The sequence below is a fragment of the Homo sapiens genome, chromosome 7, assembly GCF_000001405.40.
Source record: "Homo sapiens chromosome 7, GRCh38.p14 Primary Assembly".
In the NCBI taxonomy this organism is placed as follows: domain Eukaryota; kingdom Metazoa; phylum Chordata; class Mammalia; order Primates; family Hominidae; genus Homo; species Homo sapiens.
The window spans coordinates 15,683,068-15,698,944 of NC_000007.14; the positions used below are offsets into that span (position 1 = coordinate 15,683,068).

General features: G+C 37.4%; 1 protein-coding gene and 1 long non-coding RNA gene across 2 annotated transcripts in view, besides 1 other annotated feature; one reads left to right on the top strand and one right to left on the bottom strand.

Annotated features, from left to right (window-relative positions):
- Positions 1–3,616, bottom strand: part of MEOX2 (mesenchyme homeobox 2) — a 75,472-nt gene extending 71,856 nt beyond the window's left edge. Inside the window, exon 1 of the mRNA NM_005924.5 lies at positions 2,819–3,616. Coding sequence (NP_005915.2) covers positions 2,819–3,335 — 517 coding nt within the window. The 5' untranslated portion in view covers positions 3,336–3,616. The remainder of the gene's footprint in view (positions 1–2,818) is intronic.
- Positions 1,980–2,812: an enhancer, noted in NCBI's record as "H3K4me1 hESC enhancer chr7:15724672-15725504 (GRCh37/hg19 assembly coordinates)". NCBI's record gives its function as "activates a minimal SCP1, AML or CMV promoter by ChIP-STARR-seq in naive H9 embryonic stem cells {active_cell/tissue: H9 hESC(naive)}" and the evidence as "EXISTENCE:reporter gene assay evidence [ECO:0000049][PMID:30033119]".
- Positions 5,311–13,825, top strand: LINC02587 (long intergenic non-protein coding RNA 2587). Its single transcript, NR_110094.1, has 2 exons — positions 5,311–5,385; positions 11,803–13,825. It is a non-coding gene; the product is annotated as a long intergenic non-protein coding RNA 2587 (long non-coding RNA).
- Positions 13,826–15,877: the final 2,052 nt, after the last annotated feature.

Consider the following 15,877-nt stretch of genomic DNA (forward strand, 5'->3'; position numbering starts at 1 on the left):
GGGAAAGTGCATAAAATATATGCTAGAGAAGCTTACGTATTATAGTTTTAAATCGTTACTATGAATAAAATTGTAAGGTTTATAAATATTTAAGCTGTTTTTCAATACTTTCTGGTGCTTAAAATTCTATTAGAATTTAACACGGTAATTAGAATTAGCACATACACATACAGTCTAAGTATTAGATGCAGGGATACAGAATTTTGGTCCTGACTTTACCCTGGATTTATGTACTGAATTTTCTCTCAACCATAAATGCAAAGTAATTATAAACTACCTAACAAAATACAAATGATCTCACTATATAGGATGACATTTTTATCTAATACAATTTTAAATTTCAGGAGTTCCGAAATCACTTCAATTTTATATTTTAGAAATATTGAAATACTAAAATGTGCTATAAGCAATGAGAGATATACGTATTAATAGCATACCAGGATCATAATCATTTTCAATATTGTTTTAGTTTGTGCTAGATCAAGATGTCTATGAAATAAAATATCTTTGAAGATAATTTATGGAACACCTAATGCAATTGTTACACGAGAAAGATATCTTTAATTTAAATCTATCTCAATATCTGACAAATATACCTTCAGCTGAAATTGGCAAATAAAATTTTATTTTCAATAAGTGTACATAGATTTAAACAGAAACTATTGTGATTTTCCTTTTAGTCAATATTTCTTCAACATATCAAAGGAAAGAAAAGCTCATTCTAAATCCCCAGTATTTTTATCCTTGGTGATGACTAATTGTACTTTCCACTGAAGTTTTAATCTGTTAATAATTTATGTAGCTGACACAAACACTTATATTTGCTTGTTTTTCCAGTACCCTCATTATCAGCTTCAAAATGTAGAAATGAATTTAATTTTGTTAAATGGTTATTTCCCACTAAGTTGGGGGGGAGAGATAAATTAGTTTTGTTAAATTATTCCATTTTTTAAAAAAATTATTAAAATAAATTAAGGGAATCAGTTATTGAATTCCGTTTTCTCAGTTTTCCCCAAACAAAATAACATGTGCTTGTATGAAAATTGTTTGCCCTGAGAAACTTAAGGGCAATGGCTCAGTTCAGGAAGCATGAAGAACAATCTATCATGTAGGTTTCTCATTGCAAGAAATAAAATGAACCGTAAGAGCTTATGGGAATTGCAAGAGTACGCTCATCAACCCGAACTGGGATCTGCTTCCAAAGTTACACTGATATCAAATGTTCAGTTTATGAAATTGTCACTGCATTCTAAAATCGACTGTTTTTCTAATAAAAATTGAAACCTTTTTGCTATGATTAACCTTTCAACTCACTATCTAAAGAGAGTTTCACTTATAGTTAGGAAAATACATTAAATATCAGTGACACTACTGGTAATTTTCTTATAAAAACTAATTTGTGATGGAACATTAAAAGTTCACCCCCTGACCTTGGAAAATAAAAGTTAGCTTTTGAGACCGTGAGAGAAGAATCCATCCTATAGTAACGCTGAAGAACAATTGATATTGCTGTGAATGGTGAAGGAATATTAAATATGCGGCCAATCATTTTCATTTATGTGGCATCTTACCTAAAGCTTTACACACGATCAACATTTTTCCAATCCTTCAAACCAACATATGGGATTACCTTCTAGGACTATTATTAACCCAATTCCACAGAGGAAGAAAAATATGCAAATATTATATTAAACAAATGACACCTTCCAAAAGTATTTAATCCAGGTTGCACTATACCCACGAAAGAAAACTCACAAGTCTCTTAATTTTAAAGTATCTTTTAACAATTTTATAAAAATACAGGTAGGTAAGAGCTTTGAAAACTTGTCTGGAAACTTTGAGTTTCTCTGGATTGCTACAATTTATTCGGCACGTTGTGCCTTCAAGCACCAGAGGTCAGGAAGGTTCCCCTTTTGCATGGCTGCTCAAATTATCCCCACTGAAATCAGCGCCTCCTGCGCGCACCCTTGCATACCCCTTTAGACACGTATCTAACTAACAGTACCCGAGTTGCTGTTGCTTCGCAGTATTTGTCTCTACTAATACCCACTTGGTAGAGGGATTTATTTTCCACTTTTGAAACTTAGGTTCTGTAATTAGCTTACACCACATGGACATGTACTATTAAGGTTCGTCTTTCTTCCAGTGTGAGCATCTATTTATTTACAATTCTCTGACACATTCCTTAAAATCTGAATTCCTAGATAATGTCTTCTTCCCCAATAAAGGGAAAATTTTACCATTTGAAATAGGGTGCTATTTAAAGAACGCTGAAATAAGAATGTTAAAAAAAAAAAACTGAAACTTTTTTTTCTCATGCGCTCTGCCAAGTTCCATTGCAAGTTCCAAACATTGTGCAATAATTTGGAAATCCAGTTAACGATGGGAAAAATCGAGCCACTCAGAGTCGGCAACTTGCAAGAGAAAAGTCAAGAAGCGGCACCCGCACGCACGCCTGCCCAACGGACGCTGCATCCCTGGGCGCACGCCCCTCCCTCCCCAGCGCTGGGATGGAAGGTCACGCTTCACAATCGATTTCACAGCCACTTGTCCTTTTTTATCAACCTTCTGGTAAACTAGTTTAGGACTTTGGAGGGCTTAGAGCTGCTGGCTGTATACGCATTGCTCTCGAATAAACACGTGTCCCCAAATATCAGGACCAAAGCTTCACCGCCGAATTTGGCCGCAGGAAGCCACAGAGGGCAACACATTCCCATCTTCCCTGCTGCCACCCTCCAGTGCGAGAATCTCCCCTAGTATCTCTCCGCCCCTTTTCCAGCCCGGCGCGCACTCTCGAGGGTGCCTGGCGCGCCCTTACCTGAGCTGTCGCTTTTCCTCTTGCCGCCGCTTCGCTTCTCCGCCTCCGCAGGTGACAGTGCCTGGCGGCCGTAGTCCCCCGGCGCGCACGCGGCCCCAGTCGGGGTGCTGGAGCCCAAGCTGGAAGAGTTGGAGCACAGGACGGGCGGGCTGCTCCCCAACTCTGGGGGCCCTCCAGAGTCGGGCTGGAGGCAGAGGCTGTGCCGAGCCGCACTCGGTGGGGAAGACATCTGCGGGAGGTGCCAGTTGGTTTGCAGAGCCTGGTGCTGCTGCTGCTGATGGTGGTGATGGTGGTGGTGGTGGTGGTGGTGGTGGTGCCCCCTGTGATGCTGGCTGGCAAACATGCCCTCTTCGTTGGGGTATCCCGCGATTATGCAAGATGAGGAAGAAGTAGAGAGCTCGGGGTAAGACATATGGTCAGATCTTCCATGGAGGGCGAGAGAGGATTGGGAGAACGGGTGCAAGCCTTGCGCCGTGGCGTGAGGGCTGCGCAGGCAGCCAAAGAGCGGGTGTTCCATAGCATGCAAGTTTCGGGTTCCAGGCAGAAGACTTCACGGCGGTTCCAAAGGCCACCACCCTCTGTCACTTTTTCACTGGAAACCGTGTGATTTTTTTTTTAACCTCCCAAAGCAATAGCGGTGCACTTCTGCAGAGCTCGGATAATCCCGGTCCTGAGCCCCAGCGGCCAGTCTCCTTTACATATGAACAGTCGGACCTGGAAGAGCTTCCCTGAGCTACTCAGATGTCAAGAGTGGGAGAGGTTGAAGCCAAAAGAAGGTGGTCCCAGAGAACTGCTTTCAGGGGGAAATGGCTCTGAGAAGTTATAAATAGAGTGTAACGTGAGCTGGGGGCTGGCTTAGGAGCCCAGAGTTGACCACATGCAAACTCCCTCCAAAACTCCCGCTCAGCCTGCGCCACGCGCTCCCAGTTCCACTTCCTATCTCCTGCTGGACGGACGTAGAGCGTCCACGCCCGCCCAGCACTGCCGGCTGCCAGGACTACAAGCGGCACGCCAACGTCTAAGTCCCGCCCGGGAGGGCAGCAGCTCTGCCCTCCAGACTCTGGAGGCCTGGGCGCGGCGCACACCACCCCCAACCTAGCACCCTGATTCCTACCTACTCACTTTCCTCTCGGGGAAACGTGACTTGTCAGTGTCATTTGGGAACTGTCACCTGCAGAAAAGCTAGGGATACGCCTATCCTTTCAGGAACACGAAAGAAGTAATAGGGTTAAAGGAAAAGACCAGAGCTAGTTTGGCGCACCCTCGAAGTTTTTCAAACTTTGCATCTTCCCGTGCCCCGGGCGCCGCAGCGCGCCTAGGTTTTCGCAGCTGGTTTCTGTCGGTGGGTTGTTAATAGGCTGGGACGCCAGATCTGAGGTTGCGGGGATGAGCACCATGGCCTGGAAAAGGCGGTTCTCAGTGCAGAAAGAAGACGGACCTGGTTGGGTGGGTGGGAGGAAGGCGTGAGTCTGAAAGGGTTGCAGATGCCTGCTCCCTGGCATCCTCACGTGCGATGCCAGGTGGAGGCTCCCTTCCCCCTCTTTCCCGGTCCCGCTCAATTTCCTAGCCACTTGTCCACCAAGAAGAACTTTTCCTGGGTCAAGAATATTTCCAAGCGATTGTGTCCCGGTCATATGAGATGTGTAGATTGCACGCGCATTTCTAGCCTTTCCCCTCAGGAGCTAGCCCAGATCTCCTCGGTTTCCTCCAGAAATCCACTCTCTTCTGCTCAAAAATAAATCCGCTAATGCATTCCTTACCACCAGGGTTCCATTTACTGAGAATTCTTACATTTCGATAGCTCCCAAAATTCACTCACCGTGGGCACTTGGTTACAATTTTGCACCCCTGAAAATAAAATAGAAAACTCGCCTCTAGTAAGCATGCGAGAGCGAGGGCAGGGCTTTGAAGCTGCTACTTGCTTGGCGGGCGACAGGGTCCGCTGGGGGCAGAGTCGTTTACACACAAGTGAGTGGCGCTGTAATGAGCAGGAGGAACAGTCATGTCCCATCTGCGACCTGTCGCATCAGGAGAATATCTGTAGTCACCTATTCTGCCCGGGGCCCCAAATGCGCCACCAGCAGTGTCGCCCCGTTTTTTCATTGTCTCAGGTGTCCAGAGGATGATGACCAGGTCTTTGAAGTTGTTAGTGGGATTAATGGGTACAGCAAACTGGGCTAGACATCTGGTTTGAATTAGGAAAAAGCATTGATTAATCTTTGAGAGGTGTCCCCAAAGCAGAACCTTTCCCCTCCTCTTCCAGTCCCCTTGCTTAAGCCTCACTATCTTCTTTTCTTTTAAGTCACACTGCAGAATAGTGGCTTCGCAATAACATCCGTGTGAAAGATCGAATTGTTTTCTATTGCTCAGAGGTGGGGTGGAGTGGGGGTTGATCAGGAATTCTGAGATTTGTAAGCGCTGCTTTCTTTAACGGAAATTGAGCTCTATTTTGAGGGAAATTAGTTTTGCAGACTTCGTTTAAAAAAAAAAAAAAACTAAATCTTTTGTTCACCAGCTGCTCAGCTTTTCAGTCTGGGTCTGAGCTGAAACCTGCTGCAAGTCTGACGGTAAGACTTTCTTTGCCGATATTTTGGGAATCTAATATTGTTTTAGACTTCGAAAAGGGGTGTTGTTCAGGTTGCACGTTTCTAGGGGCTTTAAGCACTCGCAGGATGGCGTCCAGGACTTAGATCTTGAGAATATCTCTTCCTGCCACTCCCCACGCCCTTGGCTCTTTAAGAATAAAAAGAGGTGGGGGAGTTATAGTCCTCCAATATCGTCGGAATATTTTTTTGTATTTTCATTGTGTTTATGGTTTCAATATGTGCTCTGATATTAAAAGTTAAAGTACAAAGAGCAACACTAAACTTCCCCAACTCATGTAGCTTCTCTATGGATTCTGGGTGAAAGCATTAAAGGCTTTATTTAAAGTGAGATTTAGGCAACCACCTCAATAAACCTAACCAGAAATATTTACATAATATAATGCTGTCAACTAAAAGCATTGTGGAAAATGTCAGACAAGACAGACTAAAATTACTCATGATCTGCAGACATCAGTACAAAACATCCACAACGGTCCTTTTGGTTTGCATTACATTGGTTTAGAGGAAGCTAAGCAATTACTAAATGAATGGATTTGAATTTAACCAGTGTGTTGCAGGTAACCAGCAACAAGCACACACAAACCTTTCATCTCCCGAGGCTGCCACTTCTTCTTAAACCTGCCCAGTGACTGTGCTGGATTTTTTCTCACTCACTGTGTCAGATGTTAACAACCTGTCCAGAAGTTTCTCTACAACCTGCCCCAGTCAGTCAGCCTCTAGAACTGTGGGGCCAGAAACCTGGGAAGAAAAATTTAAGAAAGGTTAGAAAAGGAGGAAGTCATTCCAAAGGCATGCAATGAAAACAAAGCTAGCAAGAAAGGTCTTTTTAATTGAAGACACAGAACATTTAATATCAGCAAAAATTATGATGTCCAGTTTTCTTATAGAAAACAGAATATAAGGAAAATATTTGGAAGGAAAAAATGAAGGACTAAAAAGGACGTCTTGGTGAATTCCAGAATTAAATATAACTTTAATTTTCTCTGGATTTCTAAATATGTATTAATCATTACATAAAGATTTTTAAATTTTATTAGAATATTTGGAATAAGATAGAATATTGAATTTTATGTTCTAGGTTATAGAGAAATTTTTAAAATGTAGTAACAACGGGAAAAAAATCCCTAGCATTTCCTATAATAGCTACTTCAGTGTTCACATCCATAAAATCCAATATTGAAAAGATGCCTTTTTACCTAATGATATCAAGAAGAATGGTAAAAATTATAAAATTTATTATAAAATTTCTATATAACAATCATTTACAACTATGTATGATATAGTATTTATCCTACATTTATAATATACTTGAGTTTTCCTGAAGATAAGTTATATTAATGCCAACATTTCATGTAAGGTTTCAATATCAAGTAACACATTATAAAGAGGTTGATTCTGTGAAAAGGTAAGCTACTTAGCTCTTGCAGGGTCCACAGCTATAATTATTTTAAACGTAGGCTAGGTTCTTTAAACTTGATAAGTGTGTATATCTATTGTTTCCTCGGCTTAAATAAAATGACATTCAAGAGTAAAGGCAGAGATTTCTTTTTATTAGGACTATTTTATTTTAAGGGGACTAGAGCTCATATTAAGCAATACAACAAAATTGTATTTAAATTTTACTTTAAGATTCACAACGATTCTTTTAAAAGTTGCCATTCTTCTGCACACGTGTGACATGAGTTGTCATGGAACTTCAAATATTTAAAATTAAATAGGAAACTCTACTTTGAATTTTACCTAATAGATAAATTTTCCTTGGTAACATATACTCATAATATATGAACTAAAGGGTGGATAATTAAATTAATGTTGTAATTTGTTTCTGAAAACTTTATTGGGTATAGAAATATTATTTCTGCTATATTTTGCCAAAAAGTAGCAGTTATGTCCTTCAGTTGGTTCTTCTGAAATAAAGAATTTTGAAAATGTATCCAAATATGCTAAATACCCAATGGTAATTTATGTGATTTATGATGTACATTATTTTATAAAACTAAGGAACTGATTCTCCCCAGGAACTATGCATTATAAAGTTTATGGAACAATTTTGCTATGGCTAATGCATGTTATTTAGTGATTCTGTATACTTTTACACATTTTTAAAATGTTATTATTTTTATATAACATTAATTGGTACATTCACAGTAAAAATTGTTACATTCATTTTACATGTACCAAAAGAAATGAATACTTAAAACCTTACTTCTAAACTGTAAAACAATCCAACGTACTTTGTTTTTCTAGTTTCTAGGTCTTCCTGCATTTAAATTTATTTCTTTCAGGAATTAGTGTTTTTCTTCCATTCAATTCCGGTATAGTATAATCAATGAAATTGTTCTCAACGCTAAATATAACTCTGCCTAAAGCAATAAGAGAGGAAACAAAATATATCAAAATTAGAACTATTTAACGGATGATCTTTAGAAAGCCAGCATGCAATATAGATTATGACTAATAAAATTAAATCTAAAAGATTGAATTAAAAATTCAAAATATATGCATTCTTTCATAATATGTATTCACACTTAATAAAATTCTAATGATCTCTTGTCTTTCTTTTTCTTTTTTTATTTTGTGAGGCGTCTTATGATTGGGAAGACATAGATTGCCTCTCAAATTTCAAACACTTCCATCTGGACTTCCTTTTGTTCACCTGTTTTAAATCCATAATTATTTGATAGTTAACTCATAATAATGCTAATAGACAATAATTAATTTCTACATTTTCATTTGCATTCACGTTGTATGTTATTTTTATTGATAAATGTAGGCCTTTTCAAAATTTTGTCATTGAAAATTATATCCTTTCCATAACAGGGAGAGGTACAGGCAAACTAATTCAAGAGAATTCTATAATGAAATGCTCTATATTATGTTATATTTTCTATAGCATCCAACTCATAACCATTACATTTCTATCCACAATTTAAGGGAACTACACCGTTTATTTCTCCCATGTCTTAAAAAGCAAGGCTATCCTTTTATATGAATTGAATTTAGAAAAGTTCACAAACCTCAGAGAAGAAAAATTGAATCGAAAATACAGACAGGAATTATAAGTAAAACCTTAGTCTTCTGTTTTAAGTTTTCCAACTTGAAGAGTTCAACATAACCAATGTAACTTTGGCACTATGATAAGTTTTTCTTGTGTGTTTTTATTTTTCATACTTCATCAATTTGTAGCAAGTTTTATTCTTAAAGTGGCTTTTCCATTTTGAGCTCAGGTTTATGATTTGGATTACTAAAAACCTCTGTGTTTTAGCTGTTAGTATAGTTCTCCAAAATATTTAATTGCACACTCATATTTTATATGATTCAGACTCAACAAAGAAATACCAGCTGCCTTTTATGTCAACTTTTTTTTTTAGGAATAAAGGAAAAATGTTGTATATTTGTATACCAAACAAAATGAAAAGTTAAGGCCAAATACAAGATCTCTTATAAAAGCATATTTTTAAGAGTTTAACATTATAATAGTACTTTGATGGAGCACAGGTTTTTTTTTTTTTTGGAAGATTTTGAGAGTGATATGGAGTATTTCATACAAGGCAATGGCTTTATGGAAATGGATCAAAACAAGGATGAAATGATTAAATGACAACTGTCTGCCCATGTCTTAATTAACATAAGAAACAAGAAAGGTAACAGAAGGTCAGAATGGGCCAAAAAAAAAAAAAAAATCAGAAGAGTATTTAGCAGGTGAAAAGACAGAAAGTGAGACAAGCTTAAAGATATTAAAAATAATTTTAAATTTGTTAATACATAAATTGTAAGCCACATATGATCATGGTAAAAAGATTCCAGGTTCATATCTCGGTTTAATTGGAATTTTAAAAATAAGTAATCAGAAAGGTTCATATTTAACTGCACGGCATATATACTGTTGATAGAAGTAATAATGAAATATTACTATTCTGAGAAACAGTTTCAAATAATTAATGTGAAATGTGGATATAGATGTGATCAATGCTTAGACATGTGTAGGCTATTGAATATCTGAAGTTCTGAATAATCACTACCTTTTCGTCTTACAAATTTGTTACCTGAAACTCATTGTAAGCAAAAGGTTTTTCTAAATTTCATCTATTTTTAGAGGATGATTTCTGCTAAGTTGGGGTCATAGTATATGGGAAGGGAATAAGCTGGTTTTCAACAGCTGTTAGTGTCTGAGGAAAAAAAAGAAGTCCTGGGCCAACTGCACTGTAAAGCACTTCAAAGCACAAGTAAGGAAATTCTGTACCAAACACCAACCAGAACCCAGGAGGAATACCAGCTCTGAGCTCTAAGGCCCAAGACAAGGCAATTTCTCATACCACCAGCTAACAGTTGTTTTCATCCACAAAAGGGCCTGTGATCAAAACAAAGCTGTCTCTATATTATATAAGATTGTATAAATACTAGATGCAACCTCTTCAACCCTTAGAGTGACTAGAAAAGATTCTTTTTTCCCCACCGGACACGCATTTTGCATGACCTTTGTCCTATAAGCTCAAAGTTGCGGGACTCTACGTTGGTCCAATTCCACTTCTAACAATTCATTCTTGAGGGTATAAAAAAACTAATGGGTAGAAAAAGAGCACAGTGACTGAAAAGGTCAAAATAATCTTGTAATACTTCATGATAAAATAGAATCAAACTGACAACTGATGTTGAAAATGGACTTTATGAGTAAAAGAAAACTGACAGGTTTTTCCTCTAATTTAGGACATCTGTAGTAATCTGAAGCAGCATTTCTGCAAATAACTTATTAAAGATGATTAAGTGTGCTGGTTAAAGTGATGGTAATGTTTCTCTGAAGATATACTCAAGGTCAAATTAAATAGACTTGACCCATAATCAAATATAATAATACCTCTATTTATTGCAAACAATTTTAAGAACATTCCTTTGCTATAGTAACTATAGAGCAATAAAAATAGCACATTTATGACCTTCCATGTTAATTACTTTATTCATCATAATTATCATCTGTGGGCCAGTAGTACCTGTCAATAGCTTGTGAAATGTTTGAATTTCTACACATTTTGTTCTTGGTTACCTCTGATATCCTACCTCTTACAGTTAATGATGCGATTTGATCAAAGTTGAAAGCTGAGTCATTTTGGGTTTTAAGATCTGATCATACCTTCATCAGATAGACTCCACCAGGCAAAGGTCTCAGGCCCAGGTAGCACCACTTGGAATCCTTCCAGAACCAAAGACAAGCACATAAGTTTTAAAACTGCAAAAATGTTCACTGTTGCACATGTGGTGATAAAGCCTATTTTTAGAGAAGTGTGTATTTTTAGAGAAGAAAGATATAAAGAATCACATAGAAGCTTGTAAATATTATGCACTGTAAATCTAAGGTTATTGAATTAGCTATTTCTCTTTCTGTAGCAGTATTAAAGGCTTGCTAATCTATGTCTAGTTCTGTTATGTGAACAATATTTTTCTTAAGAAGCAATTGTTAGATCACTGTAATCTGGCATTTGTGTCAAATATAGCAATGGCTAGAACCAAAAAAAGTGGGTTATTTTCCTTGTACTGTACTAGCAATTCCAGTGATCAAACATTGCTAAATCTCAATTTTCAGTGAGCAAGTCCCATGTCAGTCTCTCTCTAAACAGCCTTATTGACAAGTCAGTTGCTTAAGTCAGAATTAGGAACCCACAATTGCCAAGCCCCTCCTTCCTTCTCCTTTTCCCCCATGCAATCAATCATCAAGTGAAGTATTCCCAATTATACTTATTTAATGTTCATTAACTCCATAATCCTCTCCACCACCAGTCAGTACCTTATTTGGGGGCCTCACTCATCTTGTTTAAATTATAGAGGGGTCCCATGATCCTGTAGTTCCCTAGAGCATTCCTCCATCTTCAGAGCCAGGGTGGAGAATTGATTTGGATCTTAGCTCTGTCAGTTTCTAATTCTGTGGATATATTCATTTGTTAACTCAAGAGAATATTACAATAAACAATTTCGACAATGCTGTGAACATACTTACCATCATGACTGGCATAAGCTCCACAAATGTTTAACAAATTTAAGTTACATCTAGACCTCACTGTGGAATGCAGATTCGTGTGGTTGTTGAGCACTTGAAATGTGGCTTTTCCAAATTGAGATTCATTTTAAGATTAAAATGTATACCAGATCTCAAAGACTTCTTGTGAAATTAATGAAGGTTTTCATTGACTACATGTTAAAATAACCGTGGTTGTATACATTGGGCTAAATAAAATATACTATTAAAATTAACTTTCTTTCTTTTTTACTTTTTTAATGCAGATGCTAGAAAACTTAAAATGACCTATGTGGTTTACATTGGACAGTGCTAAGCTAGAGGGTGTCATTTAACTTTTTCTTTCTTTTATTCCCTCCCCTTGCAAATAGGTACCAAATTACATATATATCTGTCAAAATGATGTAGGACCTAAAGTCTCTCTGTAAGTTGATCCTTTTGACCCCATGATTAGGAGCTTCACAATGTGGTACCACACCTGGAAACCTCCAGAACAAGATCTCAAGGAAACACAGGAAATTCCTGAAACAGCAAAACCCCCTATGTGAAGACGTCTGTTATTCCTTTGTGTATCAGGAGCATCACTGTTAATTAACTGTTGATACACTTAAAACAGCTTGGTTGGCAATGTCCTTTTTGAATAAAGAAGAGCCAGGTGTGTTTTTCAGGATGAACTAGACAATGCTGTCACAAGTTTACCTCTACATCTTATTGCCTTGGAAAAATTTCCTGCATATCGTGGCACAAGATGGTTGGCTCTCCAGGCAGCAGTTGGCGTTGTGAATCAGTCATCTCAGCATGTGTCTCCAAGATCCCACAGCAGGGGGAAAAAGAGGTGGAGGGTCACATGCCTGGTGTTACATACTTTGAGGCAGAGGTGGTAGGTGCCATTTCTGCTCACAGCTCATGGACCAGAACAAAGCCATGCATACCTGAGAGAGGACCAGAAAATATTCTGAAGCAGATGGCTATTTGGTGAGCAGTAAATGTTTCTGTTACAACAGGTCTTGACAAACTTCAAATGTACTCCTACTAGGCCTACTTCACACCACTAAACTCTGTACTTCCTGTTGCTTGATGGCATCTTATGCTGATGTTTTCTATCATAGTGTCCGGCACAAAACAAGAGCTCAATACATATACTTAATAGCGCATTTAGATCTAAGAGTTTCACTTTATCAAAAGATTTTAGTACCTACGTAGCTATTGGGCCACATCAGGAAAATGTAACTGCTTCTACAACTGCAAAGAAAATTTAACTAATTGTATGCTCATCCCAGCTTCAGGTTTTTGTTTTGTTTTGTTTGCTAGCTTCTTTTTATTTCATAATTTTTGCTTTGTTTTCTGCCCTTGAGCAGAGGTTCATTTCTAGTTTTCACTGGAATTAGAACAACAGTTGTGTCCATATGCAATAACAGTGTTTCAAATTCTTTGGGGATTTGCCCACAGTGTCTGCAGTCATATTGTGACACCAGTTGTGATGCCAGTCTCTGTAAATCAGACTTATTCCCAGTGAGACATTATATATTTTTGCAGCCAATACGATCTATTTTATAGCGATTTATAGCATTGTCTCTGAAAAGGATACTTTGATTTGTGTCTTGTTTTTGTCAGTTTTCAACACTTTGATTGTGGCCCAGGTTAATTAATATTTTGTGTCTAGGTTTCCTCATCTCTAAAATAAAGATGTTTATTTCTATAGCTTCATGTTGACAATTAAATTATATAATTTATGTTACTCAACTAGCAAGTAAATTGATGTACAGTGTATTTATAAATGATAGATACTATCTTTATGTTAATTTTTATTATTGTCATCATTATCATCAATTTTCAGGTCCGTGTTCTGACTAAAAGGAAGCCACACTCTGTCGAAAACAAGCTTTGTAAGAAAATTTTGAAGTATTTACTTATATCTAACCATTCATTCCACCTTTTCTCCCAAATAACACTCTAATATCTTGAGACATCTTGTCTAGGGCCAGATTTCATAAATGCTTGTGAGGCAGGAGAATAAGTTCCAGAGGCAGTTCACACTGCCTAAAGCCAATTCACACTGACTTCCTATAACTAAATCTAAAGGAAAATCTCAACTTTCCTCGCCCAAGTAACAAAAGAATCAGAGGTTATACTCCCTTTGCAACCTGCCCCTTTTCTGCCTGGCAGATGAAAAATGAAAAGTACCTATGACTGGTCCCCTCCCACGACCAGCCAGACTGGTCACGGATCACTACTTCATTTACATAGGGCGTAAACCGAGTAACCAATGGGAAACCTCTAGAGGGTATTTAAACCCCAGAAAATTCTGTAACCGGTGGTCTCCAGCAGGTTGCTCAATCTTGCTGCCACTCTGTGGGATGTACTTTTGTTTCAATAAATCTGTGCTCTTCCTTCGTGGTTTTGTTTGTGCTTTTTGTCCAACTCTTTGTTCAAAATGCCAGGAACATGGACACCCTCCACAGGTAACACTTGTTGATCAAATAAATAATATGCTAATGATAAATGTAACTTTAGTTATCAACATTTTTAATTAAATGATTATACATTTAGGTTGTACATATTTCACTTGGCTTTTCCACTTCCTTCAAAGTAATAGTAAAACAAAGACTCTTGGCATATAAAACCCGGAATTTGAGATGCCTGACAAAAATGCTTCATATGGCCAAAAGAACTATTAAATTCTAAAGAAAAAGCCATATGTCATTTCTTACCTAAAGCACTTTGGATAAATTTACAGTGGAATTTGATTTTAGGTTGTACAGGATCTAGCCATTAGTTCAAAAGTAATGAACTGTCCTGTAACAACAGAGGTTTAGTGAGATTATAACTACGGGACTAACCCTAACCTCAATTATAGTGTAATATGCAACTCACTTAACTCCAAATAAATAAGCATACTAACAATGAAATAAAATACTCATAAAATGAATAACATAGAACTTAAGATTTTACATCTATTTACATCATTTATGCTTGACTCATATAGTGAGTATATATAAGCTATGCCGAAAATAAGCTCAATGTACTGCTTAGTGCCAACTAAAATGTACATTCTTTTATAATTGAATTCCTATTTCCAGAAATGTTTTGTGGTGATTTACAGTACAATTTGGTAAAACAAAATGTAAATGTAGAATAAAGACTATAGATTAAATAAACACTAAAAGTCAATACATTATAGACTAAAGTGTAATATAAAATAAAGACATGAGAACCTTCTGAAGGAGAAGTTTCCAAACCTTAAATATCAGAAGAAACCTCTGGCTTTTGTTTGTTTGTTTGTTTTTAGGAAACACATTGTAGCACACAGCTACGTAAGGACAGTGAGAACCAGAGCTATCAGGATGGACACAGGTCAGGGGCACCAAGCACCACTTGCTCAGTGTATTTTCCCCTCCCCTTACAGCCCACGGGCTCATGAGTGGCACCTACAAAGAAACAAATGGATCTTGAGACACAACCTAAAAACCAAGCACTAATTTCTCCAATATATGTAATACAGCCGGTGAAATGGCCCCTCAAATGCCATACCTGTGTTTTCTTGGTCTATTAATTCATTTGATAGGTACATTCTTGGGGTAAATATTTGAGCAACTTTTTTTTCTTTTTTTTCGGAGACAAGATCTTCCTCTGTCAGGGGTGAAGTGGTGCAATCATAGCTCACTGCAGCGTCAAACTCCTGAGCTCAAGTGATCCTCCTGCCTCAGCCTCCCTGGTAGCTGGGCCTACAGGTGTGTATCACCACATTCAGCTAATTTTTTAAAATGTTTTATAGAGATGGGTCTTACCATGTTGCTCAGGTTGGTCTCAAACTCCTGGCCTCAAGCCATCCTCTCACCTTGGCCTCCCAAAGTGCTGGGGTTACAGGTGTAGGCCACCACACCTTATTTTCCTTAATTTTTGTCTTCAGCTATTTAGTTATTAATTCCTTCCAGTTTTCTAAGTTTTGTTTAATATATAAATATAGATTTCCTACAACTATAAATGTAGAAATACTTCTAATGCAGAAAATTTAATCTAATACCCTTGTATTTATCAAGAGTCAATTTTCTTTTAAAAAAAGGGACATCTCTGTAAGGCCTGAACAGCAAAATGTTACTTAGTGGAATCTAGAAAAATCAAATCCCCATAGAATTCAGTGCTAGAAAAACAGAGCCTAACAAAAAGGGAACAAAGGACATGAATTACTGCATTATCAAAGTAGAACTATTTATGATCAAGAAATATTAAACTACTGGAAACTTACTTGTAATAAAAATGAAAGTTAAAAAAGATAGCATTTTCCACCTATCAAATTGATAACCATTAAAAAACAAATAGGTTATGATGAAAAGGATTTTGGAAAATAATAAATGTTTTACACTTCTGGGAAGAGTGTAATTAGGACAGATTATCTAGTGGAAATTTTAGGAGTAAGTAAAATGCTAACTTTAATCCAATAATTGC